The 22327-nt window shown below is 37.6% G+C and overlaps 2 protein-coding genes across 3 annotated transcripts; one reads left to right on the top strand and one right to left on the bottom strand.

The window, feature by feature from the left end:
* Window positions 1-350: 350 nt before the first annotated feature.
* Window positions 351-9350, bottom strand: TRIM49D2 (tripartite motif containing 49D2). Its single transcript, NM_001105522.1, has 7 exons — window positions 9241-9350; window positions 6242-6656; window positions 5861-5956; window positions 3854-4084; window positions 3117-3139; window positions 2146-2243; window positions 351-1028 (listed from the first exon to the last, which is right to left on the bottom strand). The coding sequence occupies exons 2-7, from the start codon at window positions 6650-6652 to the stop codon at window positions 529-531; spliced, it is 1359 nt and encodes a 452-aa protein (NP_001098992.1). The 5' UTR covers window positions 6653-6656; window positions 9241-9350; the 3' UTR covers window positions 351-528.
* Window positions 9351-11168: 1818 nt separating this feature from the next.
* On the top strand, window positions 11169-22005 carry TRIM49D1 (tripartite motif containing 49D1). Of its 2 annotated transcripts, NM_001384911.1 has the most exons (8): window positions 11169-11562; window positions 12905-13115; window positions 15700-16114; window positions 16400-16495; window positions 18272-18502; window positions 19217-19239; window positions 20113-20210; window positions 21328-22005. In NM_001384911.1, exons 3-8 carry the CDS (start codon window positions 15704-15706, stop codon window positions 21825-21827), a joined length of 1359 nt encoding a protein of 452 aa, NP_001371840.1. In that variant the 5' UTR covers window positions 11169-11562; window positions 12905-13115; window positions 15700-15703; the 3' UTR covers window positions 21828-22005. The 2 variants fall into 2 exon arrangements, with proteins under 2 accessions (NP_001371840.1, NP_001193556.1); NM_001206627.2 differs by lacking the exon at window positions 11169-11562 and having other exon boundaries at window positions 12967-13115.
* Window positions 22006-22327: the final 322 nt, after the last annotated feature.

The raw sequence follows: 22327 nt of genomic DNA, 5'->3' as shown, positions 1-22327 counted from the left end.
TATATATGTGGTGAGAATTCCAAAATGAAGCCCAGCATGGAAGGTCAAATGATATTAACTCAAAGGATAGATTAGTACAATGAAACATGATGGATAAGTGCAACACAGTTAGATAAAGAGAAAGAAAAACAGCATTTCCCAGTTATCATTAACGCTTCACTCCAAGTTTTTGCATGAAGCAAAAGATCCCGACTCTCTTCCACTGATTTTAACTCCATTCAGACATGTCTGTCAACTATTATTTCACTCAGTGGCAGTCAGAAATAAAGAAAAAAAAACAGAGAATATATTTCATGCCATGATCATGAATAATGATTTTTCAAAAATTAATTAATAACCAGTACACACACTTTTAGTGTTTTTACCACATTTAATAGTAACACAATAAATGAGTTTTAATAACATTAGAATGCAATTCAAGACATAAAACAGAACGTATTTGTCCTGTTTGATAAGGCACAAGGAAGAGGGCTTTCTGGGATAAAGGGGTTCCCACAGCAGATGAACACATATCTGATTTGTCTCTGGTCAGAGGTGAACACAGCAAAAGATAGGCCTGAGAGGAGGTGAGAAGGAGCAATTAGGGATGGTGTGTATAGGGGAGCTTTGATTAACATCAACGAAGCTCACAGTTCTAGCTTCACAATCCAGGAATAATCCTACATGGTTGGTAGGTCTTGGGACATACTGCAGTGTAAGTGGGGAGGTGGTAAAGAGGCTGCACTGAATGTCATTCTTAACACACCCAAGACTAAAGAGTCCCTCCTCTCCATGTATATTGCCATTCTGATTCGTCCCTTTCCAATACTTATTACAGACACCAAAGGCCCAATTCCAAGAGTCCCCCACATGGACCTCCCAGTAATATTTGCCAGAGGTGAAAGTCTGAGCACCCCATGCAAGAAAACTTGTAGGTGTTGCAGTGATATGGGGCGCATTTTGACGGTCACATCCAATACAAATGCTTCTCAAATCTCCACGTCGGAAGATATGACTGTTGGCTTCATTATGAGGCAGAGTAATATCCACTGCAAAATAAATAAATAAATAAATAAATAAATAAATAAATAAAAAGAAAGAAAGAAAGAAAGAAAACATGCATAGGCATGTGTAGATAAGCAAAAATTGTTCTATCAAGCAGTTAATTTACCAGGAAACGTAAAGTCACAAGGACACTTTTGCTTGTAACTTCTAATAAAGTATAGAGATGATTAATATTATCTACAAGACAGACAAAACGCTAACCACAGATATTAAAGATGTTTTGAAAACTTACATACTGAGAGCCAAATGTAAGACCAACTTCTTTCAATCCAATTTTCAAAGCAAAATTAGCACATTATGTGCCCTAAATGCTATGCTGTTATCAAGATCATTATTTAGAAATGTTTCTTATTCTTAAAAACTAGTGCTATCATTTTGGAAAGAATGTGAAGATGTTCAGTTACTCAAGAACTGCTCTAGATAACTGGGTAAAAATCCATAAGTACATGTCATAAGTGATCATTTAAAGCAGATTTCTGCAAAATCTTTTACCAGTCTCTCTGTTGGCCCTCCATGCTAGCTTGGGGCTGAAGCTGGATTTTAGACTTAACATGTAGCTTTTCATATTGCAATTAAACTGAACTTCTTTTTGTTTGTAATTTTACTTGTATTCACAAAATGATTTCTTTTTATTTTTACCCATTAACTAATTTTCTTGGAAATACATAATATATATCCATTAAAAAAATTAAAAAACCCCAAGAATCTCCAGTGAACTATATTCCCCAAAAGAACAGTTCTTAGCTGTTCAAATGAATACACCAAAGAAATGTAAAATTTTGTATTTAACATTAAATAACTCACCTTCATTCTGAGCATTGTTCCATTTGCTCCTTTTTTAGATTTGCTACACTACTCCTTTTTCCCATTACATTACTCAGTACATATGAGGCCATAATGTATTTGTTTTTCACTATCTTTTAATCTTAATGCTATAAATCTGACTATACAGACACAGATACAAAAGGGTTGCATGATTATATTGTTCACTTATGTCTATAAAGTAGTAAAATATTTGATAAAGGGTGAAATATTACCTATGTGATCCTAACAATAATAAAATTTAGATAGTGGGAGTGCTGCCTGTGGGTGGAGACTTACCTCGGAATTGGTTGAGCCTGTCCCTCAGTCCAGTGATGGGCCCTGCCCTGAGCTCTAGATTCAGAGGCTGGGGCATGTGCAGCAGCACGGACTCACTCCTGCAAGGAAAAACCTGCAGTTACAACATCTACAGCCATAAAATAAATAAAAATCACTACTTGTGTTTAAAAGACATTTCATGAGAATCCTTTGAACCCACAAATTTGATAATTCAAAAATTATTCCTTCCTTTTTGAAATTAATTTCGATTTACAGTTTCCGAATTTTAAAGCACAGTGGGAGAGTCTGAGTCAGAATTCAGTCTGATCTTTCCTATTTTTTGCCCCAAATGTTTAAGGTTCCTTAGCCTTACGGCCTTGAGAATATTTAGAAACGAAATTCTGAGTTCCACTTCTTGGCAGACTCCCCTGACACCTTTGTCTGAAATAGCGGGGTTCTGGGGAGACTGCTGCATCTGCTGCTTCCTTTTCAAGATAAAGAATGTGAAACTTGTTCTAGGCAGCTAGACCTGCCTTTTAGAAACAAGCTTCCCTAGAGACTTATACAGTTCTAACACTCCACAGTTTTTTCAATCTATTTTTCAGAACTGTTAACTGATATGTGTATAGGTATGAACAACAAATCATCAACTTTTTCACTGCTGAAATACTTCTCCCACTTCTCTCCTGCTTCCTCTGGTGACTTTCTCACCATCCACAAAACAAAACTTCATCTTTCACCTATGCAGGCTTTTAAGCAATAAAACAAAGTCAGGAATAAACATTTTTTTTTATTTTACTTCACTATTTATTTATTTATGTATTTATTTACTTAGTGGTCTTGTCTTTTCTGGTGTGGGAACAAAAGTAGATGCAAAAAAGAAATAAAGTGGTATCAATATCTCAATCATTTATGCCAGGACTTTGGTAGAGCCTGCTTTGATATTCGTGGAAAGTGAAAGAACATATGCTAAAATCCAGGTACACTCTCACCTGTGTAATATGTCTCCAAAAGCCTGTAAAAAAAAAAAAAATAGAAAGATTTAGTGCAGTTCACAAGATGCATCTTTCATTAAGTTCAGTGTGAAATTTGGAGTCAGTTCCTCAAGATATTATTTCCCTACCATCTTCTCTTCTGCAAAGCATTTTCTATTTCTTCTGTAACGAAAAACCCAGTCAGTCGTATTGTCACTAATTAATGACCTGGGAAAGTCTGAGTCTTGAAGACATTCTCTAAAGAAGTGAAGGGAGAAGAGGCCCAGAGAGTCTATGCTCCATGGTAACCTCGAATAACCTACTCAGTCATCTTTCCCAGAACCTATTACCCAAATGAGTGGATCCCAAAATAATATTAATGTGAGCCTAGATTCCCAAAACGTCTGATCTTGCCATGTCCTCAAATTAACCTAAATGTAAATGAATCACTCACTATTTTATACATGTTTGACAACCCAAAATGTATTATTGACTTAGTTGGGGAATAGTTATTGGGGCTGTTACCTTGACCATTCCACAAAGTTTTGTGGCTGGTGGATAAAGTAGGAGGGATCTTTGGCCTGGTAGAATCCCTTGGCGGGGCTATACTCTCCCAATAAAGTAGCATTAGTTGTGCGAATGTGTTTTTGGAAACACATCATGGAAATAAAGGTAGGGAGATGGATTTCAGCCATGAGGAAAATACTTATACATGTGAATATTCAAAAACCTGAAACCACATTGTGAGTTTGTACCTGAAGTAGCTCCACATCTGGTTTATGGCACATTTTCATCAGCTCCGCATACGTTCCTCTTAAAATCTCCCTCCTGTGAGCCATTTTGGCTTTACTTAAATGAAGTCGATGAAAAATATCTTTCCCCTTCTTTTTCAGCATCTCCAAATTATGTTTTTCTTCTTCATGATGAAATGCAGGCATCTTCTGATACTCAGCTCTAATAGCTTCTAGCCTTACATTCACATAATCCTGCAGTGATAATGGGTTAGTCAAAAGAGAAATGTATATATCCATCTCCTATTAAATCTCACTGATTCCTTTTGTCTCTCGAACATCCAATAGTTTAAACCTCAGTCTTACCAGTTCTTAGAATCCACAAATTTTTTTCCTTTCCTTTCTTTCTGCATAAAGATCAACATAGATGTATCTGACCAATTACATTAAATTTATTCAAGATAATGAGTGTTCTAAGATAGTTGGAAATAAAAAAAAAAAAACACAATTTGAATTTCTCTATTCCAACCCATATTTATGGAAAAGTAAGACCAGTTCATGCTTAAGAGTTGGAGTATAGAGCTATAGTTACTAGAAAGGAAATAATTATTTCTATTTCTGAGATACGTAACAAGTTGCTTAAACTCATTATATGTGAAATGACCTTAGACTAACATGTCCAGCTAAATGCATTTCGCCCAGCAAAACCTATCCTAATAAGGCTGCATTTATGATTTGGCCATCTTTGTCTCCCTGAATTCATTTCCTTCCATTCTTTTTCTAAGTCAACCCAATCTGAAACATAGACTTCTTTGTGGTTCCCCAGGCCTCCAAATATACACAAACTCAAAATTACTGCATATACTGTTCTCTCCAACTGGAATTTTACACACACACACACACACACACACACACACACACACACACACAAACACACAAACACACATATACATATACATGTATACACACTCATGGTCCACATATATATCCATACACACTTTCGTGCTCCCCTTCCGCTTTGAAACTTTGTTCAATTTGAATTTTTCAGTGAATCTTTTTTTCTGACCACCCTATTTAAAACTCAGACACTAATCTCCAGTTTCTGGCCTCTATTGTCCTTTTCTACTTCCCTGCTTGATTATTCTCCAACAAAGAACCTACCACACTCGAACACATCATGTATTGCACATATTTGCATGTTGACCATTTTTGCCTCTCATTTGGATTGTACGATTTGTGAGGACAAAGATGCTTTCTTTCTTCTATACTGGCAAATTTTCTAATTTAATATTCAACATAGACTAGGTTCTTATGAAATACTTTTCAACACACTACTATTAGCTATCATACCCTCAGAGTATACATCCACAAAGAGAAAATCATTTTTAATATTTTTCTGAAGTCCTCAGAGTTCTCCTTATATTTAGATACTAGTTCCCATATTTCGGGCATGTTTGCATGTCTCCCTCAAGACACAAATCCATATTTCTCACCACTTTTCTCATCATATGTTATGTAGTATTCAATATTAATTAGTTGAGATTCTTAATTTCATGGTTGCCCTAGATTTCCCCTGTCACTCTTTCTGCCTCAAATTTTCCATGCAATTCCAAATACTACTTGTCCACCAGCATTCAGATTAATGCTGACCCAGGCTCAGAAGGTTCACTTGAGCTTTCCATGACTGCCAAATAACTCTCATGCCCAGCATTTATCCAACCAGCACATATAGAATGCTGTGAGATGGCCCAGTATCTTGTATCTGTTGGTGTATAGCTACAGGTTTGTATGAAAACAAACCAGCATGCTTTGGGTAACATCAACGGTTTTGTTAGAAATCCCATCTAACAGTCACACTATTCTACATAAGAAATGAGGCCACTTTTTCTCAATGTTTTCTTTTCTTTTCTTTTTTTTTTTTTTTTTTTTGACTCCCAGAAACATTACGGTTTGATATCAAGTTCCTATTTTAAGAGTCACCCATTTGCCCACCATAAGTTCCTGGAGAAGGTAGACTAGTACAGGACTAACCTTCCAGTGGCTGATTCTGGTGGTTTCCACGTTCAGGTTTCTCTGATTTTCACAAACTTTTTCCCATAAAGACTGCATTTTCTTTAAAAGCTTCTCCTGCAAAAGAGCCATAAATTGAAGCACCAGTGAGGACAATAAAGTAACATGCAGACCGTTTCATAGGGAGGGGGCCCAGAATGAGAGACAAATAAGTCCCCAGTAAATGGCATTTCTTCTGTTTCCCTTCTGCTTCGTCAAATCTCGGAGGTTTGAAGCTAAGAAAGCCCAAAAGAGAGTTGCTTAAAGGGACTCAGAGTTGGCTTTACCCAATCTCCGAGAAAATAGGCCCACAGGAATTTCATGTGTCCTTTACAGAAATAGATCTTCAGAGGCATCACTTACCCGGTGTTCCTCAGCAGCCCACTCAGCGGGACAGTGTCTGTGATACCGGTGCTCCAGAGAGCTGGAGCACAGCAAACAGAGCAGGCTCCTGTCCACTTCACAGAATATCTTCTTTGTCTCCCTGTGAGTGCCACACATTTGCTCCTCAGAGCTCAGGAATAGCCAGAGACTGGCTTTTCTGGCACGGGAAGCCATCTTCTTCAATCGAATGTTAGTTTTGAGGTTTCTCTGCTGTGTTGTCTTTAGGCATTCAAAGCACTGAGTAAGAATTGGGATGTCTTGCCAGTTGAGGTAGAAACAGGGCCTGCAAAAGCTGTGCCCACAGTCTATGGTGACCGGGTCTATGAAGTAGTTCAGGCAGATGGGGCAGGTGAGTTCCCTCTGGAAGACTTGCGAGATTCCAGAATTCATGTTTCTGAGGAAGAAAGAGCAACATGTCATTTTGGGGTCTGGGTTGATGAAAAGCTTCTGAACATGTGGAGATAAGTGATAGCTATAGTTTCTTCTCTTGACAGTGTTCATTAAAGCACAGCAAACTATTTCTTCTGTAACAAAAATAAAAATCTCACACAGAGAGTCTCCCGGCTTTATAGTAGATATTACTGACTAGATGACTCACAACCCCTTCTACTCCTAGTGCCTGTCTGTAACACAATACCAATCTATTCAATTTCCCATTTTTCTGAATGTGGATCTGGAAATTGGGTTTGATTCTAAGTGGCCTAGAATAAATTGTAGTTGTTCCTATTCTTCTTTCATGTAACTGCCGAATGAGTATGAAAGGGTGGGAAAAACTGCCTTGGCCAAAGAAATACGAGAAGATGGCTAGAGGGTCCTATGATATATTTTGAGAGACACAACAGTGGGGCAGCAAACCACCATGGCACATGTTTACCTGTGTAACAAGCCTGCACGTCCTGCACATTTATCTCAGGACTTAAAATAATATAAAATTAAAGTAAAATAAAAAACCAAAACCAAAACGAAATAGAAAAACCAATCAACCAACCAAATAAACAAATAAAAAACAGCAATTAAACCAATTTAGGTTGAATAGAAGAGAAAAAATCATTAAAGATATTGGGCCTTTTTATTTTCTCGTGGGTTAAATTAACTTCTCCTAGGGATACCCAGGCTCTGAACTAACATATAGTAGGATTTTTGTTAAACTTAAAGAGGTGTAATTATATTTCTATGGTGTGATGGTGAATTTTAGGTATCAGTCTGACTGGATTAACCAACACCTAGGGAACTGGTGCAGCATTGTTTCTGGGTGAGTCTGTGAAGGTGTTTCCAGAGGAGAGAGACATGTGAGTTGGTGAGCTGAGTGGGACCATCATCCCTCAATGTGAGTGGGCACCATTCAATCAGCTGGTAGCTCAGATAAAAGGAAAAGGCCAGAAGAAAGGCAATTTCCTCTTTCTTTCTCCTGAAGCTAGTTCTGAGGCTTTCAGCCTTGAGCTCAGTCAAGACACCGGTATCCTCAGGACATCAGCTTAAAGACAGCCTATATTAGAACTGCTCAGACTCCATAATCAAGCAAACGAATTTTCCTGATGAATTCCCTCTCGTGTAGAATCATGTGTAGCTTGAGGACAGATATATGTTCTGAGAAATGTGTAAGGAGGTTTTATTTATTTACTTTTTGAGATGGAGACCCACTGTGTCACCCAGGCTGGAGTGCAGTGGTGCAATCTCGGCTCACTGCAACCTCCGCCTCCTGGGTCAAAGCGAGTCTCCTGCCTTAGCCTCCTGAGTACCTAGGATTACAGGAACATGCCACTACACCCGGCAAATTTTCTCATTTTTTTTTTTCCAGTAGAGATGAGGTTTCGCCATGTTGGCCAGGCTGGACTTGAACTCCTGGCCTCAAGTGATCTGCCCACCACGGCCTCCAAAAGTGCTGGGATTACAGGCATGAGCCACTGTGCCTAGCCGGGCGGTTGTATTGTTTTGACATGATAGAATATACTTATACAAACCTAGATGGTACAGCCTGCTACACACCTATGGTATACAGTACAGCCTGTTGCTCCTAGACTACAAAACTGTACAGCATGTTCTGTACTGTATACTCTAGGCAATTGTAACACAGTGGTAATTATTTAGTATGTAAACATATTTAAATACAGAAAAGGTACAGTAAACACACTGGTATTATAATCTTATGTGACCACCATGTGTGGTTTATGGTTGACTGAATTGGCTCATGAATGTATCTCTACATGTATACATATACATCCTATCATTCTGTCTGTCTGGAGAGCCCTGACTAATATATAAACTATGGTCTTTGGCAATTTTAAGTCCTTTTCTTTACTCTCCTTTATTTGATAACACTGCTGAATTTTAGTGAAAGAAATGAAAAATCTTAGAATTGTAAATATTCTCCAGAGGTCATCTAAGTCATTTTAAGGAATTTTTCATAGTTTAATAAGATTAAGACTCAAGTGAGATGGCAACCACCATCACGTATCAAATTATATCTTATATATGTATTTGGCCAAAAAATTGTGTTTTGATTTCCAAACTAGGATGTTTTGGGGAGCTTTCTCATTTTTTTCAGTTTCACTATTTTGCATCTCTCATCATTACCTTACTAATTTAAAGCTATGTGTAAATGCCGAATGAATGGATTAACATTCATTAACGTCTTCTCAATTCAATTGTATAATATTAATACACTCATTACACACATATTTACACACACCTATGTGTACATACATGTATAAATATCAACTCCATATATTCATTATGCATACATATCTGTTGCAGCAAACACTAGATATTTCCATTTTTTCAAAACTATATTGAAGAATGATAGAAAACGCAAAATAACAACAATTAGTATCCTCATAATTCATAAAATCTATAGTAAGAATATGAATTACAAATGGTATCATTGTGTAGATTTAAGATAATGAGATATTTTTAACACTCTAATTTATTATTTTGTAAAGGAAAGAAGACATAATTTTATCAATATAAGTTTCACTCACCGCTGGGTTCTTTGAAGGGTTCCCACAATGATTCTTCGAGAAATAATTCTGTTAAGTACTCCTCAAGGTCAGGAGCTCATTCGCCGCAGTACTGAGTTTCAGAGGTCACCAAAACACAGCTTCCTCTAAGTGCGCTCCTTCTCCTTTGGAGAAAACTGAGCTTGTCTCTTCTATGTCCTTTTATAAGAATCTGTGAAGGCCACACCCACCTCTTTAAGTGGGTGGAGTATTGAGAAAGGTTGAGAATAAGATGATTAGGTTTATGCAGTATTTAGATCGCACCTTTGCACCGCTGATTAAATTATCATCACTCCTTAAAAAACCAGACATCTATACACAGCAGCTCTCCTGTGACTGACATTCTTGGTTATTTTCTTGCTTGATGCAATTTTCTTCCTTGAGTCAATTGATTTACTTCTGGAAAGTGGTGTAAAAATTGGTTCCTAATAAAATTTGCAATTTGAAAATATTCTATCTTGAAGCAGACCAATGGTTAACAACTTTGCAAAACCAATATTTATACCCTTGATAAAATATTTGATTGCTAATGTGTTGGCTGCTGGATTTCTCCCAACAGAGAACATCTTCAGAGTTATTCTTCTCTGCTAAGAGAACATTTCTCTTTTGTCTCCTGGTCTCTGTATGTCTGAGGAACCCTTTTCTATGTCATCTGGTAACTTCTCATTTTATTTTTTCCTTGTATAATTTTGGACCAGTCCATGCCATCTTTTCCTCTCATTCTTCCCTATATAGCAATGAATTTTGTAAAATAAAGAAAATGGCAAGAAGAGAGGAAGAGGATATCAGTGAAGAGGATGTCATGCTGGACACCGTGTTGTTCTTGGCACACACTGCATGCAGTCCTCACTGCCATCAGCAGGGTGGCTTTTATTCTCACATTTTTTTTGATCTATCTAATAATGGGAGGGGAGAGTAACACTATCAGTGTCCCTCACCCAGTAAAATGCAGATTTTTATTAAGAGGCTGTGCCTTGCTCTGTTGCCCAGGCTGGAGTGTAGTGGTGCAATCATAGTTCACTGTAACCTCGAACTTCTGGGCTCAAGGGATCCTCCGATCTCTGCCTCCCAAACATTGAAATTACTTGCTTAGCTCTTACTGGATCTGACTACCAAGTCTACCCTTACATATACGATATTTTTTCCATAGCTCCACTTATACATTTAGTTAAATAGTTTTCAAAATAATAACGTTTTAAAGCTAAATGAAGTCAATATGATTTTCAGTTACAAAGCAACACAAAATAAAAAATAAACATATCCAAATAAAAATTAAACAAAAACAATAAAATATCTTTAAAAGAACAGTATTTCTATAATTTTCCTTCTTAATTTTTAAACAACAGAGTAAAACAGATCAACTTCACAATTTAACTGAAAGATGATTTACAAATTGTCTGAAAACACTAACTAAAGCCAATAAAACTTTCTCTAGCCACAGATATGACAGCCGTGAACACTTTAGGGTAACCAACAATTGTTTTGTCTATTCTCAGGTTAGAGCAGAAGGACCCTCAGCTGCCGACCAGTGGGACATGACAATGCCAAGAAATCTGGGCCACAAACCAGGCCATTCCCCTGAAAATTTGCTGTAGCTTCCTTGGAGCTAAAAAGCCAAGATTCCCAACAGTACCCATGGGCAGAGGGCTTAGGTACCTGGTCAGTTACCTCTCTAACCACTCACTGCTGCATCAAGCAAGAAAATAACCAAGAATCTCAGTCACAGGAGAGCTGTTGTGTATAGATGTCTGTTTGTGGCAGGGGGTCAAGGTATTCATGCTGCAGAAGACAAGCTGGAATCTCCCTCCACCCCCATTTCGACCCAACCAAGGGCTCTGATTCCTTTCATAAACCTGCCTCTAGTCTTCCCCACCTTTCTCTGTTCCTATCCCCTCTCTAATTGCTGGATGAGGCTGTGCTGCTGCAGCCGACTGTCTGGCCCCTGAGCATTACATCCCCATACTCCAGGCCTTTATTCATCACCAAAACAGCATGGTACTGGTACAAAAATAGGCACATAGACCAGTGGAACAGAATAGAGAACCCAGAAATGAACCCAAATACTTAACAACCAACTGATCTTTGACAAAGCAAACAAAAACATAAAGTGGGGAGAGGACACCCTATTCAACAAATGGTGCTGGGATAATTGGCAAGCCACATGTAGGAGAATGAAACTGGACTTTGTGGCATAGACAAACTTTCTTATTGTTATTCAATGAAACACTCACGTAGGACCTACTGGGAAGGTATTTTGCAGATGTAACGAAAGGTCCTGCTCTTGTAACTAGCAAGTGTACTCAGGTAAGCCTGACTTCATCAGTGAAAGTCCCTTAAAGAAAGACATAGGCATTCCTTGAACAACATTTAAAATAGCGAATGGGACTGTAATCTTCCAGTTGCCCCCTAATGACTTTGGACCAAAGCTTTGAATCCTGACCATTGGGATCCAGCCAGCTGAGGATTTTTCTTCCTAACTGACTTTAACAGGGATCTCATACTTGCTCAGGCAGCCCATCAACTGTGGAAACCGGTTCCTTGCACTTAATTCATATGTGAATCTCCCTAAGTATTCATATATATTATGGGATCTGCTTTGATTTTTGAACCTTGACAGACATAGGGCTGACAGATTTGTCTTCACTGTTCTGACACTCTTGAATATAAGTCTTGTGGGGGCTATTGGCAAAGAATTCCTCTGTCAGAATATATTTGAGTAGCCGCTTCTTAAATCTCTTTTCTTTTTTAAATTGTCACATGACAACAAAAATATTTGTTATAGAAAGAAAAATATAATCCATCCCTATCATTTGGATTCTGTATTTGTGAATTAGCCTACGTCCTAAAACTTGTTTATAATCCCCAAATTAATTACTATATTGCATTTCTAGTCATGGCAGAACATCATGCACCATGTGGAGAAAAGCATTAAAATAATAACTCGTATTTCACCCACGAGATTGGCAAAGGTTTGTAAATTCAGTAAGAGACCTCAAATTAGTAGAGTTATTTGGTTAGTCAGTGATTTCTCTTAGAGTGGTAGAAAACAAAAAAAGTTTTATCTTCCTGTTGGACTTCTCTTCGAATATCCTATAAATGTACTAAAGCAGCATTTAAGGCTGGATGAGGTGGTTTATGCCTGTACTCCCAAGCATTTTGGAAGTCCAAGACCAGAGGATTACTTGAAGACAGGAGTTGGAGAACAGCCTGGGCTACAGAGCCATACCCTGACTCTATGAAAAGTTTTAAAAAAACATTAGCCAGGTGGGATGGTTTGAGCCTGTAGTCCTAGCTACTTGGGAGGCTGAAGCAGGAGGATCCCTTGAGCCTTGGAATTCAAGGCTGCAGTGAGCTATGACTGTACCACTGCACTCCACAAGCAGACAGTTTCTCTAGAATAAATAAATGTGCCCTTAGAGGAATGCCTGTATCTTGGATGAAGCTCAATAAACAGTATAAAATGCATCTTAGTTAATTTCCAGTGTATGTCAAATCTGATAGGATTTATGTTACATATGATTCATTTAAATCATGGTTTTTTAAGGAGTGATGATAATTTAATCAGCGGTGCAAAGGTGCGATCTAAATACTGCATAAACCTAATCATCTTATTCTCAACCTTTCTCAATACTCCACCCACTTAAAGAGGTGGGTGTGGCCTTCACAGATTCTTATAAAAGGACATAGAAGAGACAAGCTCAGTTTTCTCCAAAGGAGAAGGAGCGCACTTAGAGGAAGCTGTGTTTTGGTGACCTCTGAAACTCAGTACTGCGGCGAATGAGCTCCTGACCTTGAGGAGTACTTAACAGAATTATTTCTCGAAGAATCATTGTGGGAACCCTTCAAAGAACCCAGCGGTGAGTGAAACTTATATTGATAAAATTATGTCTTCTTTCCTTTACAAAATAATAAATTAGAGTGTTAAAAATATCTCATTATCTTAAATCTACACAATGATACCATTTGTAATTCATATTCTTACTATAGATTTTATGAATTATGAGGATACTAATTGTTGTTATTTTGCGTTTTCTATCATTCTTCAATATAGTTTTGAAAAAATGGAAATATCTAGTGTTTGCTGCAACAGATATGTATGCATAATGAATATATGGAGTTGATATTTATACATGTATGTACACATAGGTGTGTGTAAATATGTGTGTAATGAGTGTATTAATATTATACAATTGAATTGAGAAGACGTTAATGAATGTTAATCCATTCATTCGGCATTTACACATAGCTTTAAATTAGTAAGGTAATGATGAGAGATGCAAAATAGTGAAACTGAAAAAAATGAGAAAGCTCCCCAAAACATCCTAGTTTGGAAATCAAAACACAATTTTTTGGCCAAATACATATATAAGATATAATTTGATACGTGATGGTGGTTGCCATCTCACTTGAGTCTTAATCTTATTAAACTATGAAAAATTCCTTAAAATGACTTAGATGACCTCTGGAGAATATTTACAATTCTAAGATTTTTCATTTCTTTCACTAAAATTCAGCAGTGTTATCAAATAAAGGAGAGTAAAGAAAAGGACTTAAAATTGCCAAAGACCATAGTTTATATATTAGTCAGGGCTCTCCAGACAGACAGAATGATAGGATGTATATGTATACATGTAGAGATACATTCATGAGCCAATTCAGTCAACCATAAACCACACATGGTGGTCACATAAGATTATAATACCAGTGTGTTTACTGTACCTTTTCTGTATTTAAATATGTTTACATACTAAATAATTACCACTGTGTTACAATTGCCTAGAGTATACAGTACAGAACATGCTGTACAGTTTTGTAGTCTAGGAGCAACAGGCTGTACTGTATACCATAGGTGTGTAGCAGGCTGTACCATCTAGGTTTGTATAAGTATATTCTATCATGTCAAAACAATACAACCGCCCGGCTAGGCACAGTGGCTCATGCCTGTAATCCCAGCACTTTTGGAGGCCGTGGTGGGCAGATCACTTGAGGCCAGGAGTTCAAGTCCAGCCTGGCCAACATGGCGAAACCTCATCTCTACTGGAAAAAAAAAAATGAGAAAATTTGCCGGGTGTAGTGGCATGTTCCTGTAATCCTAGGTACTCAGGAGGCTAAGGCAGGAGACTCGCTTTGACCCAGGAGGCGGAGGTTGCAGTGAGCCGAGATTGCACCACTGCACTCCAGCCTGGGTGACACAGTGGGTCTCCATCTCAAAAAGTAAATAAATAAAACCTCCTTACACATTTCTCAGAACATATATCTGTCCTCAAGCTACACATGATTCTACACGAGAGGGAATTCATCAGGAAAATTCGTTTGCTTGATTATGGAGTCTGAGCAGTTCTAATATAGGCTGTCTTTAAGCTGATGTCCTGAGGATACCGGTGTCTTGACTGAGCTCAAGGCTGAAAGCCTCAGAACTAGCTTCAGGAGAAAGAAAGAGGAAATTGCCTTTCTTCTGGCCTTTTCCTTTTATCTGAGCTACCAGCTGATTGAATGGTGCCCACTCACATTGAGGGATGATGGTCCCACTCAGCTCACCAACTCACATGTCTCTCTCCTCTGGAAACACCTTCACAGACTCACCCAGAAACAATGCTGCACCAGTTCCCTAGGTGTTGGTTAATCCAGTCAGACTGATACCTAAAATTCACCATCACACCATAGAAATATAATTACACCTCTTTAAGTTTAACAAAAATCCTACTATATGTTAGTTCAGAGCCTGGGTATCCCTAGGAGAAGTTAATTTAACCCACGAGAAAATAAAAAGGCCCAATATCTTTAATGATTTTTTCTCTTCTATTCAACCTAAATTGGTTTAATTGCTGTTTTTTATTTGTTTATTTGGTTGGTTGATTGGTTTTTCTATTTCGTTTTGGTTTTGGTTTTTTATTTTACTTTAATTTTATATTATTTTAAGTCCTGAGATAAATGTGCAGGACGTGCAGGCTTGTTACACAGGTAAACATGTGCCATGGTGGTTTGCTGCCCCACTGTTGTGTCTCTCAAAATATATCATAGGACCCTCTAGCCATCTTCTCGTATTTCTTTGGCCAAGGCAGTTTTTCCCACCCTTTCATACTCATTCGGCAGTTACATGAAAGAAGAATAGGAACAACTACAATTTATTCTAGGCCACTTAGAATCAAACCCAATTTCCAGATCCACATTCAGAAAAATGGGAAATTGAATAGATTGGTATTGTGTTACAGACAGGCACTAGGAGTAGAAGGGGTTGTGAGTCATCTAGTCAGTAATATCTACTATAAAGCCGGGAGACTCTCTGTGTGAGATTTTTATTTTTGTTACAGAAGAAATAGTTTGCTGTGCTTTAATGAACACTGTCAAGAGAAGAAACTATAGCTATCACTTATCTCCACATGTTCAGAAGCTTTTCATCAACCCAGACCCCAAAATGACATGTTGCTCTTTCTTCCTCAGAAACATGAATTCTGGAATCTCGCAAGTCTTCCAGAGGGAACTCACCTGCCCCATCTGCCTGAACTACTTCATAGACCCGGTCACCATAGACTGTGGGCACAGCTTTTGCAGGCCCTGTTTCTACCTCAACTGGCAAGACATCCCAATTCTTACTCAGTGCTTTGAATGCCTAAAGACAACACAGCAGAGAAACCTCAAAACTAACATTCGATTGAAGAAGATGGCTTCCCGTGCCAGAAAAGCCAGTCTCTGGCTATTCCTGAGCTCTGAGGAGCAAATGTGTGGCACTCACAGGGAGACAAAGAAGATATTCTGTGAAGTGGACAGGAGCCTGCTCTGTTTGCTGTGCTCCAGCTCTCTGGAGCACCGGTATCACAGACACTGTCCCGCTGAGTGGGCTGCTGAGGAACACCGGGTAAGTGATGCCTCTGAAGATCTATTTCTGTAAAGGACACATGAAATTCCTGTGGGCCTATTTTCTCGGAGATTGGGTAAAGCCAACTCTGAGTCCCTTTAAGCAACTCTCTTTTGGGCTTTCTTAGCTTCAAACCTCCGAGATTTGACGAAGCAGAAGGGAAACAGAAGAAATGCCATTTACTGGGGACTTATTTGTCTCTCATTCTGGGCCCCCTCCCTATGAAACGGTCTGCATGTTACTTTATTGTCCTCACTGGTGCTTCAATTTATGGCTCTTTTGCAGGAGAAGCTTTTAAAGAAAATGCAGTCTTTATGGGAAAAAGTTTGTGAAAATCAGAGAAACCTGAACGTGGAAACCACCAGAATCAGCCACTGGAAGGTTAGTCCTGTACTAGTCTACCTTCTCCAGGAACTTATGGTGGGCAAATGGGTGACTCTTAAAATAGGAACTTGATATCAAACCGTAATGTTTCTGGGAGTCAAAAAAAAAAAAAAAAAAAAGAAAAGAAAAGAAAACATTGAGAAAAAGTGGCCTCATTTCTTATGTAGAATAGTGTGACTGTTAGATGGGATTTCTAACAAAACCGTTGATGTTACCCAAAGCATGCTGGTTTGTTTTCATACAAACCTGTAGCTATACACCAACAGATACAAGATACTGGGCCATCTCACAGCATTCTATATGTGCTGGTTGGATAAATGCTGGGCATGAGAGTTATTTGGCAGTCATGGAAAGCTCAAGTGAACCTTCTGAGCCTGGGTCAGCATTAATCTGAATGCTGGTGGACAAGTAGTATTTGGAATTGCATGGAAAATTTGAGGCAGAAAGAGTGACAGGGGAAATCTAGGGCAACCATGAAATTAAGAATCTCAACTAATTAATATTGAATACTACATAACATATGATGAGAAAAGTGGTGAGAAATATGGATTTGTGTCTTGAGGGAGACATGCAAACATGCCCGAAATATGGGAACTAGTATCTAAATATAAGGAGAACTCTGAGGACTTCAGAAAAATATTAAAAATGATTTTCTCTTTGTGGATGTATACTCTGAGGGTATGATAGCTAATAGTAGTGTGTTGAAAAGTATTTCATAAGAACCTAGTCTATGTTGAATATTAAATTAGAAAATTTGCCAGTATAGAAGAAAGAAAGCATCTTTGTCCTCACAAATCGTACAATCCAAATGAGAGGCAAAAATGGTCAACATGCAAATATGTGCAATACATGATGTGTTCGAGTGTGGTAGGTTCTTTGTTGGAGAATAATCAAGCAGGGAAGTAGAAAAGGACAATAGAGGCCAGAAACTGGAGATTAGTGTCTGAGTTTTAAATAGGGTGGTCAGAAAAAAAGATTCACTGAAAAATTCAAATTGAACAAAGTTTCAAAGCGGAAGGGGAGCACGAAAGTGTGTATGGATATATATGTGGACCATGAGTGTGTATACATGTATATGTATATGTGTGTTTGTGTGTTTGTGTGTGTGTGTGTGTGTGTGTGTGTGTGTGTGTGTGTGTGTAAAATTCCAGTTGGAGAGAACAGTATATGCAGTAATTTTGAGTTTGTGTATATTTGGAGGCCTGGGGAACCACAAAGAAGTCTATGTTTCAGATTGGGTTGACTTAGAAAAAGAATGGAAGGAAATGAATTCAGGGAGACAAAGATGGCCAAATCATAAATGCAGCCTTATTAGGATAGGTTTTGCTGGGCGAAATGCATTTAGCTGGACATGTTAGTCTAAGGTCATTTCACATATAATGAGTTTAAGCAACTTGTTACGTATCTCAGAAATAGAAATAATTATTTCCTTTCTAGTAACTATAGCTCTATACTCCAACTCTTAAGCATGAACTGGTCTTACTTTTCCATAAATATGGGTTGGAATAGAGAAATTCAAATTGTGTTTTTTTTTTTTTATTTCCAACTATCTTAGAACACTCATTATCTTGAATAAATTTAATGTAATTGGTCAGATACATCTATGTTGATCTTTATGCAGAAAGAAAGGAAAGGAAAAAAATTTGTGGATTCTAAGAACTGGTAAGACTGAGGTTTAAACTATTGGATGTTCGAGAGACAAAAGGAATCAGTGAGATTTAATAGGAGATGGATATATACATTTCTCTTTTGACTAACCCATTATCACTGCAGGATTATGTGAATGTAAGGCTAGAAGCTATTAGAGCTGAGTATCAGAAGATGCCTGCATTTCATCATGAAGAAGAAAAACATAATTTGGAGATGCTGAAAAAGAAGGGGAAAGATATTTTTCATCGACTTCATTTAAGTAAAGCCAAAATGGCTCACAGGAGGGAGATTTTAAGAGGAACGTATGCGGAGCTGATGAAAATGTGCCATAAACCAGATGTGGAGCTACTTCAGGTACAAACTCACAATGTGGTTTCAGGTTTTTGAATATTCACATGTATAAGTATTTTCCTCATGGCTGAAATCCATCTCCCTACCTTTATTTCCATGATGTGTTTCCAAAAACACATTCGCACAACTAATGCTACTTTATTGGGAGAGTATAGCCCCGCCAAGGGATTCTACCAGGCCAAAGATCCCTCCTACTTTATCCACCAGCCACAAAACTTTGTGGAATGGTCAAGGTAACAGCCCCAATAACTATTCCCCAACTAAGTCAATAATACATTTTGGGTTGTCAAACATGTATAAAATAGTGAGTGATTCATTTACATTTAGGTTAATTTGAGGACATGGCAAGATCAGACGTTTTGGGAATCTAGGCTCACATTAATATTATTTTGGGATCCACTCATTTGGGTAATAGGTTCTGGGAAAGATGACTGAGTAGGTTATTCGAGGTTACCATGGAGCATAGACTCTCTGGGCCTCTTCTCCCTTCACTTCTTTAGAGAATGTCTTCAAGACTCAGACTTTCCCAGGTCATTAATTAGTGACAATACGACTGACTGGGTTTTTCGTTACAGAAGAAATAGAAAATGCTTTGCAGAAGAGAAGATGGTAGGGAAATAATATCTTGAGGAACTGACTCCAAATTTCACACTGAACTTAATGAAAGATGCATCTTGTGAACTGCACTAAATCTTTCTATTTTTTTTTTTTTTACAGGCTTTTGGAGACATATTACACAGGTGAGAGTGTACCTGGATTTTAGCATATGTTCTTTCACTTTCCACGAATATCAAAGCAGGCTCTACCAAAGTCCTGGCATAAATGATTGAGATATTGATACCACTTTATTTCTTTTTTGCATCTACTTTTGTTCCCACACCAGAAAAGACAAGACCACTAAGTAAATAAATACATAAATAAATAAATAGTGAAGTAAAATAAAAAAAAATGTTTATTCCTGACTTTGTTTTATTGCTTAAAAGCCTGCATAGGTGAAAGATGAAGTTTTGTTTTGTGGATGGTGAGAAAGTCACCAGAGGAAGCAGGAGAGAAGTGGGAGAAGTATTTCAGCAGTGAAAAAGTTGATGATTTGTTGTTCATACCTATACACATATCAGTTAACAGTTCTGAAAAATAGATTGAAAAAACTGTGGAGTGTTAGAACTGTATAAGTCTCTAGGGAAGCTTGTTTCTAAAAGGCAGGTCTAGCTGCCTAGAACAAGTTTCACATTCTTTATCTTGAAAAGGAAGCAGCAGATGCAGCAGTCTCCCCAGAACCCCGCTATTTCAGACAAAGGTGTCAGGGGAGTCTGCCAAGAAGTGGAACTCAGAATTTCGTTTCTAAATATTCTCAAGGCCGTAAGGCTAAGGAACCTTAAACATTTGGGGCAAAAAATAGGAAAGATCAGACTGAATTCTGACTCAGACTCTCCCACTGTGCTTTAAAATTCGGAAACTGTAAATCGAAATTAATTTCAAAAAGGAAGGAATAATTTTTGAATTATCAAATTTGTGGGTTCAAAGGATTCTCATGAAATGTCTTTTAAACACAAGTAGTGATTTTTATTTATTTTATGGCTGTAGATGTTGTAACTGCAGGTTTTTCCTTGCAGGAGTGAGTCCGTGCTGCTGCACATGCCCCAGCCTCTGAATCTAGAGCTCAGGGCAGGGCCCATCACTGGACTGAGGGACAGGCTCAACCAATTCCGAGGTAAGTCTCCACCCACAGGCAGCACTCCCACTATCTAAATTTTATTATTGTTAGGATCACATAGGTAATATTTCACCCTTTATCAAATATTTTACTACTTTATAGACATAAGTGAACAATATAATCATGCAACCCTTTTGTATCTGTGTCTGTATAGTCAGATTTATAGCATTAAGATTAAAAGATAGTGAAAAACAAATACATTATGGCCTCATATGTACTGAGTAATGTAATGGGAAAAAGGAGTAGTGTAGCAAATCTAAAAAAGGAGCAAATGGAACAATGCTCAGAATGAAGGTGAGTTATTTAATGTTAAATACAAAATTTTACATTTCTTTGGTGTATTCATTTGAACAGCTAAGAACTGTTCTTTTGGGGAATATAGTTCACTGGAGATTCTTGGGGTTTTTTAATTTTTTTAATGGATATATATTATGTATTTCCAAGAAAATTAGTTAATGGGTAAAAATAAAAAGAAATCATTTTGTGAATACAAGTAAAATTACAAACAAAAAGAAGTTCAGTTTAATTGCAATATGAAAAGCTACATGTTAAGTCTAAAATCCAGCTTCAGCCCCAAGCTAGCATGGAGGGCCAACAGAGAGACTGGTAAAAGATTTTGCAGAAATCTGCTTTAAATGATCACTTATGACATGTACTTATGGATTTTTACCCAGTTATCTAGAGCAGTTCTTGAGTAACTGAACATCTTCACATTCTTTCCAAAATGATAGCACTAGTTTTTAAGAATAAGAAACATTTCTAAATAATGATCTTGATAACAGCATAGCATTTAGGGCACATAATGTGCAAATTTTGCTTTGAAAATTGGATTGAAAGAAGTTGGTCTTACATTTGGCTCTCAGTATGTAAGTTTTCAAAACATCTTTAATATCTGTGGTTAGCGTTTTGTCTGTCTTGTAGATAATATTAATCATCTCTATACTTTATTAGAAGTTACAAGCAAAAGTGTCCTTGTGACTTTACGTTTCCTGGTAAATTAACTGCTTGATAGAACAATTTTTGCTTATCTACACATGCCTATGCATGTTTTCTTTCTTTCTTTCTTTCTATTTATTTATTTATTTATTTATTTATTTATTTATTTATTTTGCAGTGGATATTACTCTGCCTCATAATGAAGCCAACAGTCATATCTTCCGACGTGGAGATTTGAGAAGCATTTGTATTGGATGTGACCGTCAAAATGCGCCCCATATCACTGCAACACCTACAAGTTTTCTTGCATGGGGTGCTCAGACTTTCACCTCTGGCAAATATTACTGGGAGGTCCATGTGGGGGACTCTTGGAATTGGGCCTTTGGTGTCTGTAATAAGTATTGGAAAGGGACGAATCAGAATGGCAATATACATGGAGAGGAGGGACTCTTTAGTCTTGGGTGTGTTAAGAATGACATTCAGTGCAGCCTCTTTACCACCTCCCCACTTACACTGCAGTATGTCCCAAGACCTACCAACCATGTAGGATTATTCCTGGATTGTGAAGCTAGAACTGTGAGCTTCGTTGATGTTAATCAAAGCTCCCCTATACACACCATCCCTAATTGCTCCTTCTCACCTCCTCTCAGGCCTATCTTTTGCTGTGTTCACCTCTGACCAGAGACAAATCAGATATGTGTTCATCTGCTGTGGGAACCCCTTTATCCCAGAAAGCCCTCTTCCTTGTGCCTTATCAAACAGGACAAATACGTTCTGTTTTATGTCTTGAATTGCATTCTAATGTTATTAAAACTCATTTATTGTGTTACTATTAAATGTGGTAAAAACACTAAAAGTATGTGTACTGGTTATTAATTAATTTTTGAAAAATCATTATTCATGATCATGGCATGAAATATATTCTCTGTTTTTTTTTCTTTATTTCTGACTGCCACTGAGTGAAATAATAGTTGACAGACATGTCTGAATGGAGTTAAAATCAGTGGAAGAGAGTCGGGATCTTTTGCTTCATGCAAAAACTTGGAGTGAAGCGTTAATGATAACTGGGAAATGCTGTTTTTCTTTCTCTTTATCTAACTGTGTTGCACTTATCCATCATGTTTCATTGTACTAATCTATCCTTTGAGTTAATATCATTTGACCTTCCATGCTGGGCT

The sequence above is a fragment of the Homo sapiens genome, chromosome 11 (assembly GCF_000001405.40).
Source record: "Homo sapiens chromosome 11, GRCh38.p14 Primary Assembly".
NCBI lineage: Eukaryota > Metazoa > Chordata > Mammalia > Primates > Hominidae > Homo > Homo sapiens.
The sequence above is the reverse complement of the archived record's forward strand: the minus strand, read 5'-3'. Positions and strand labels throughout refer to the sequence as shown.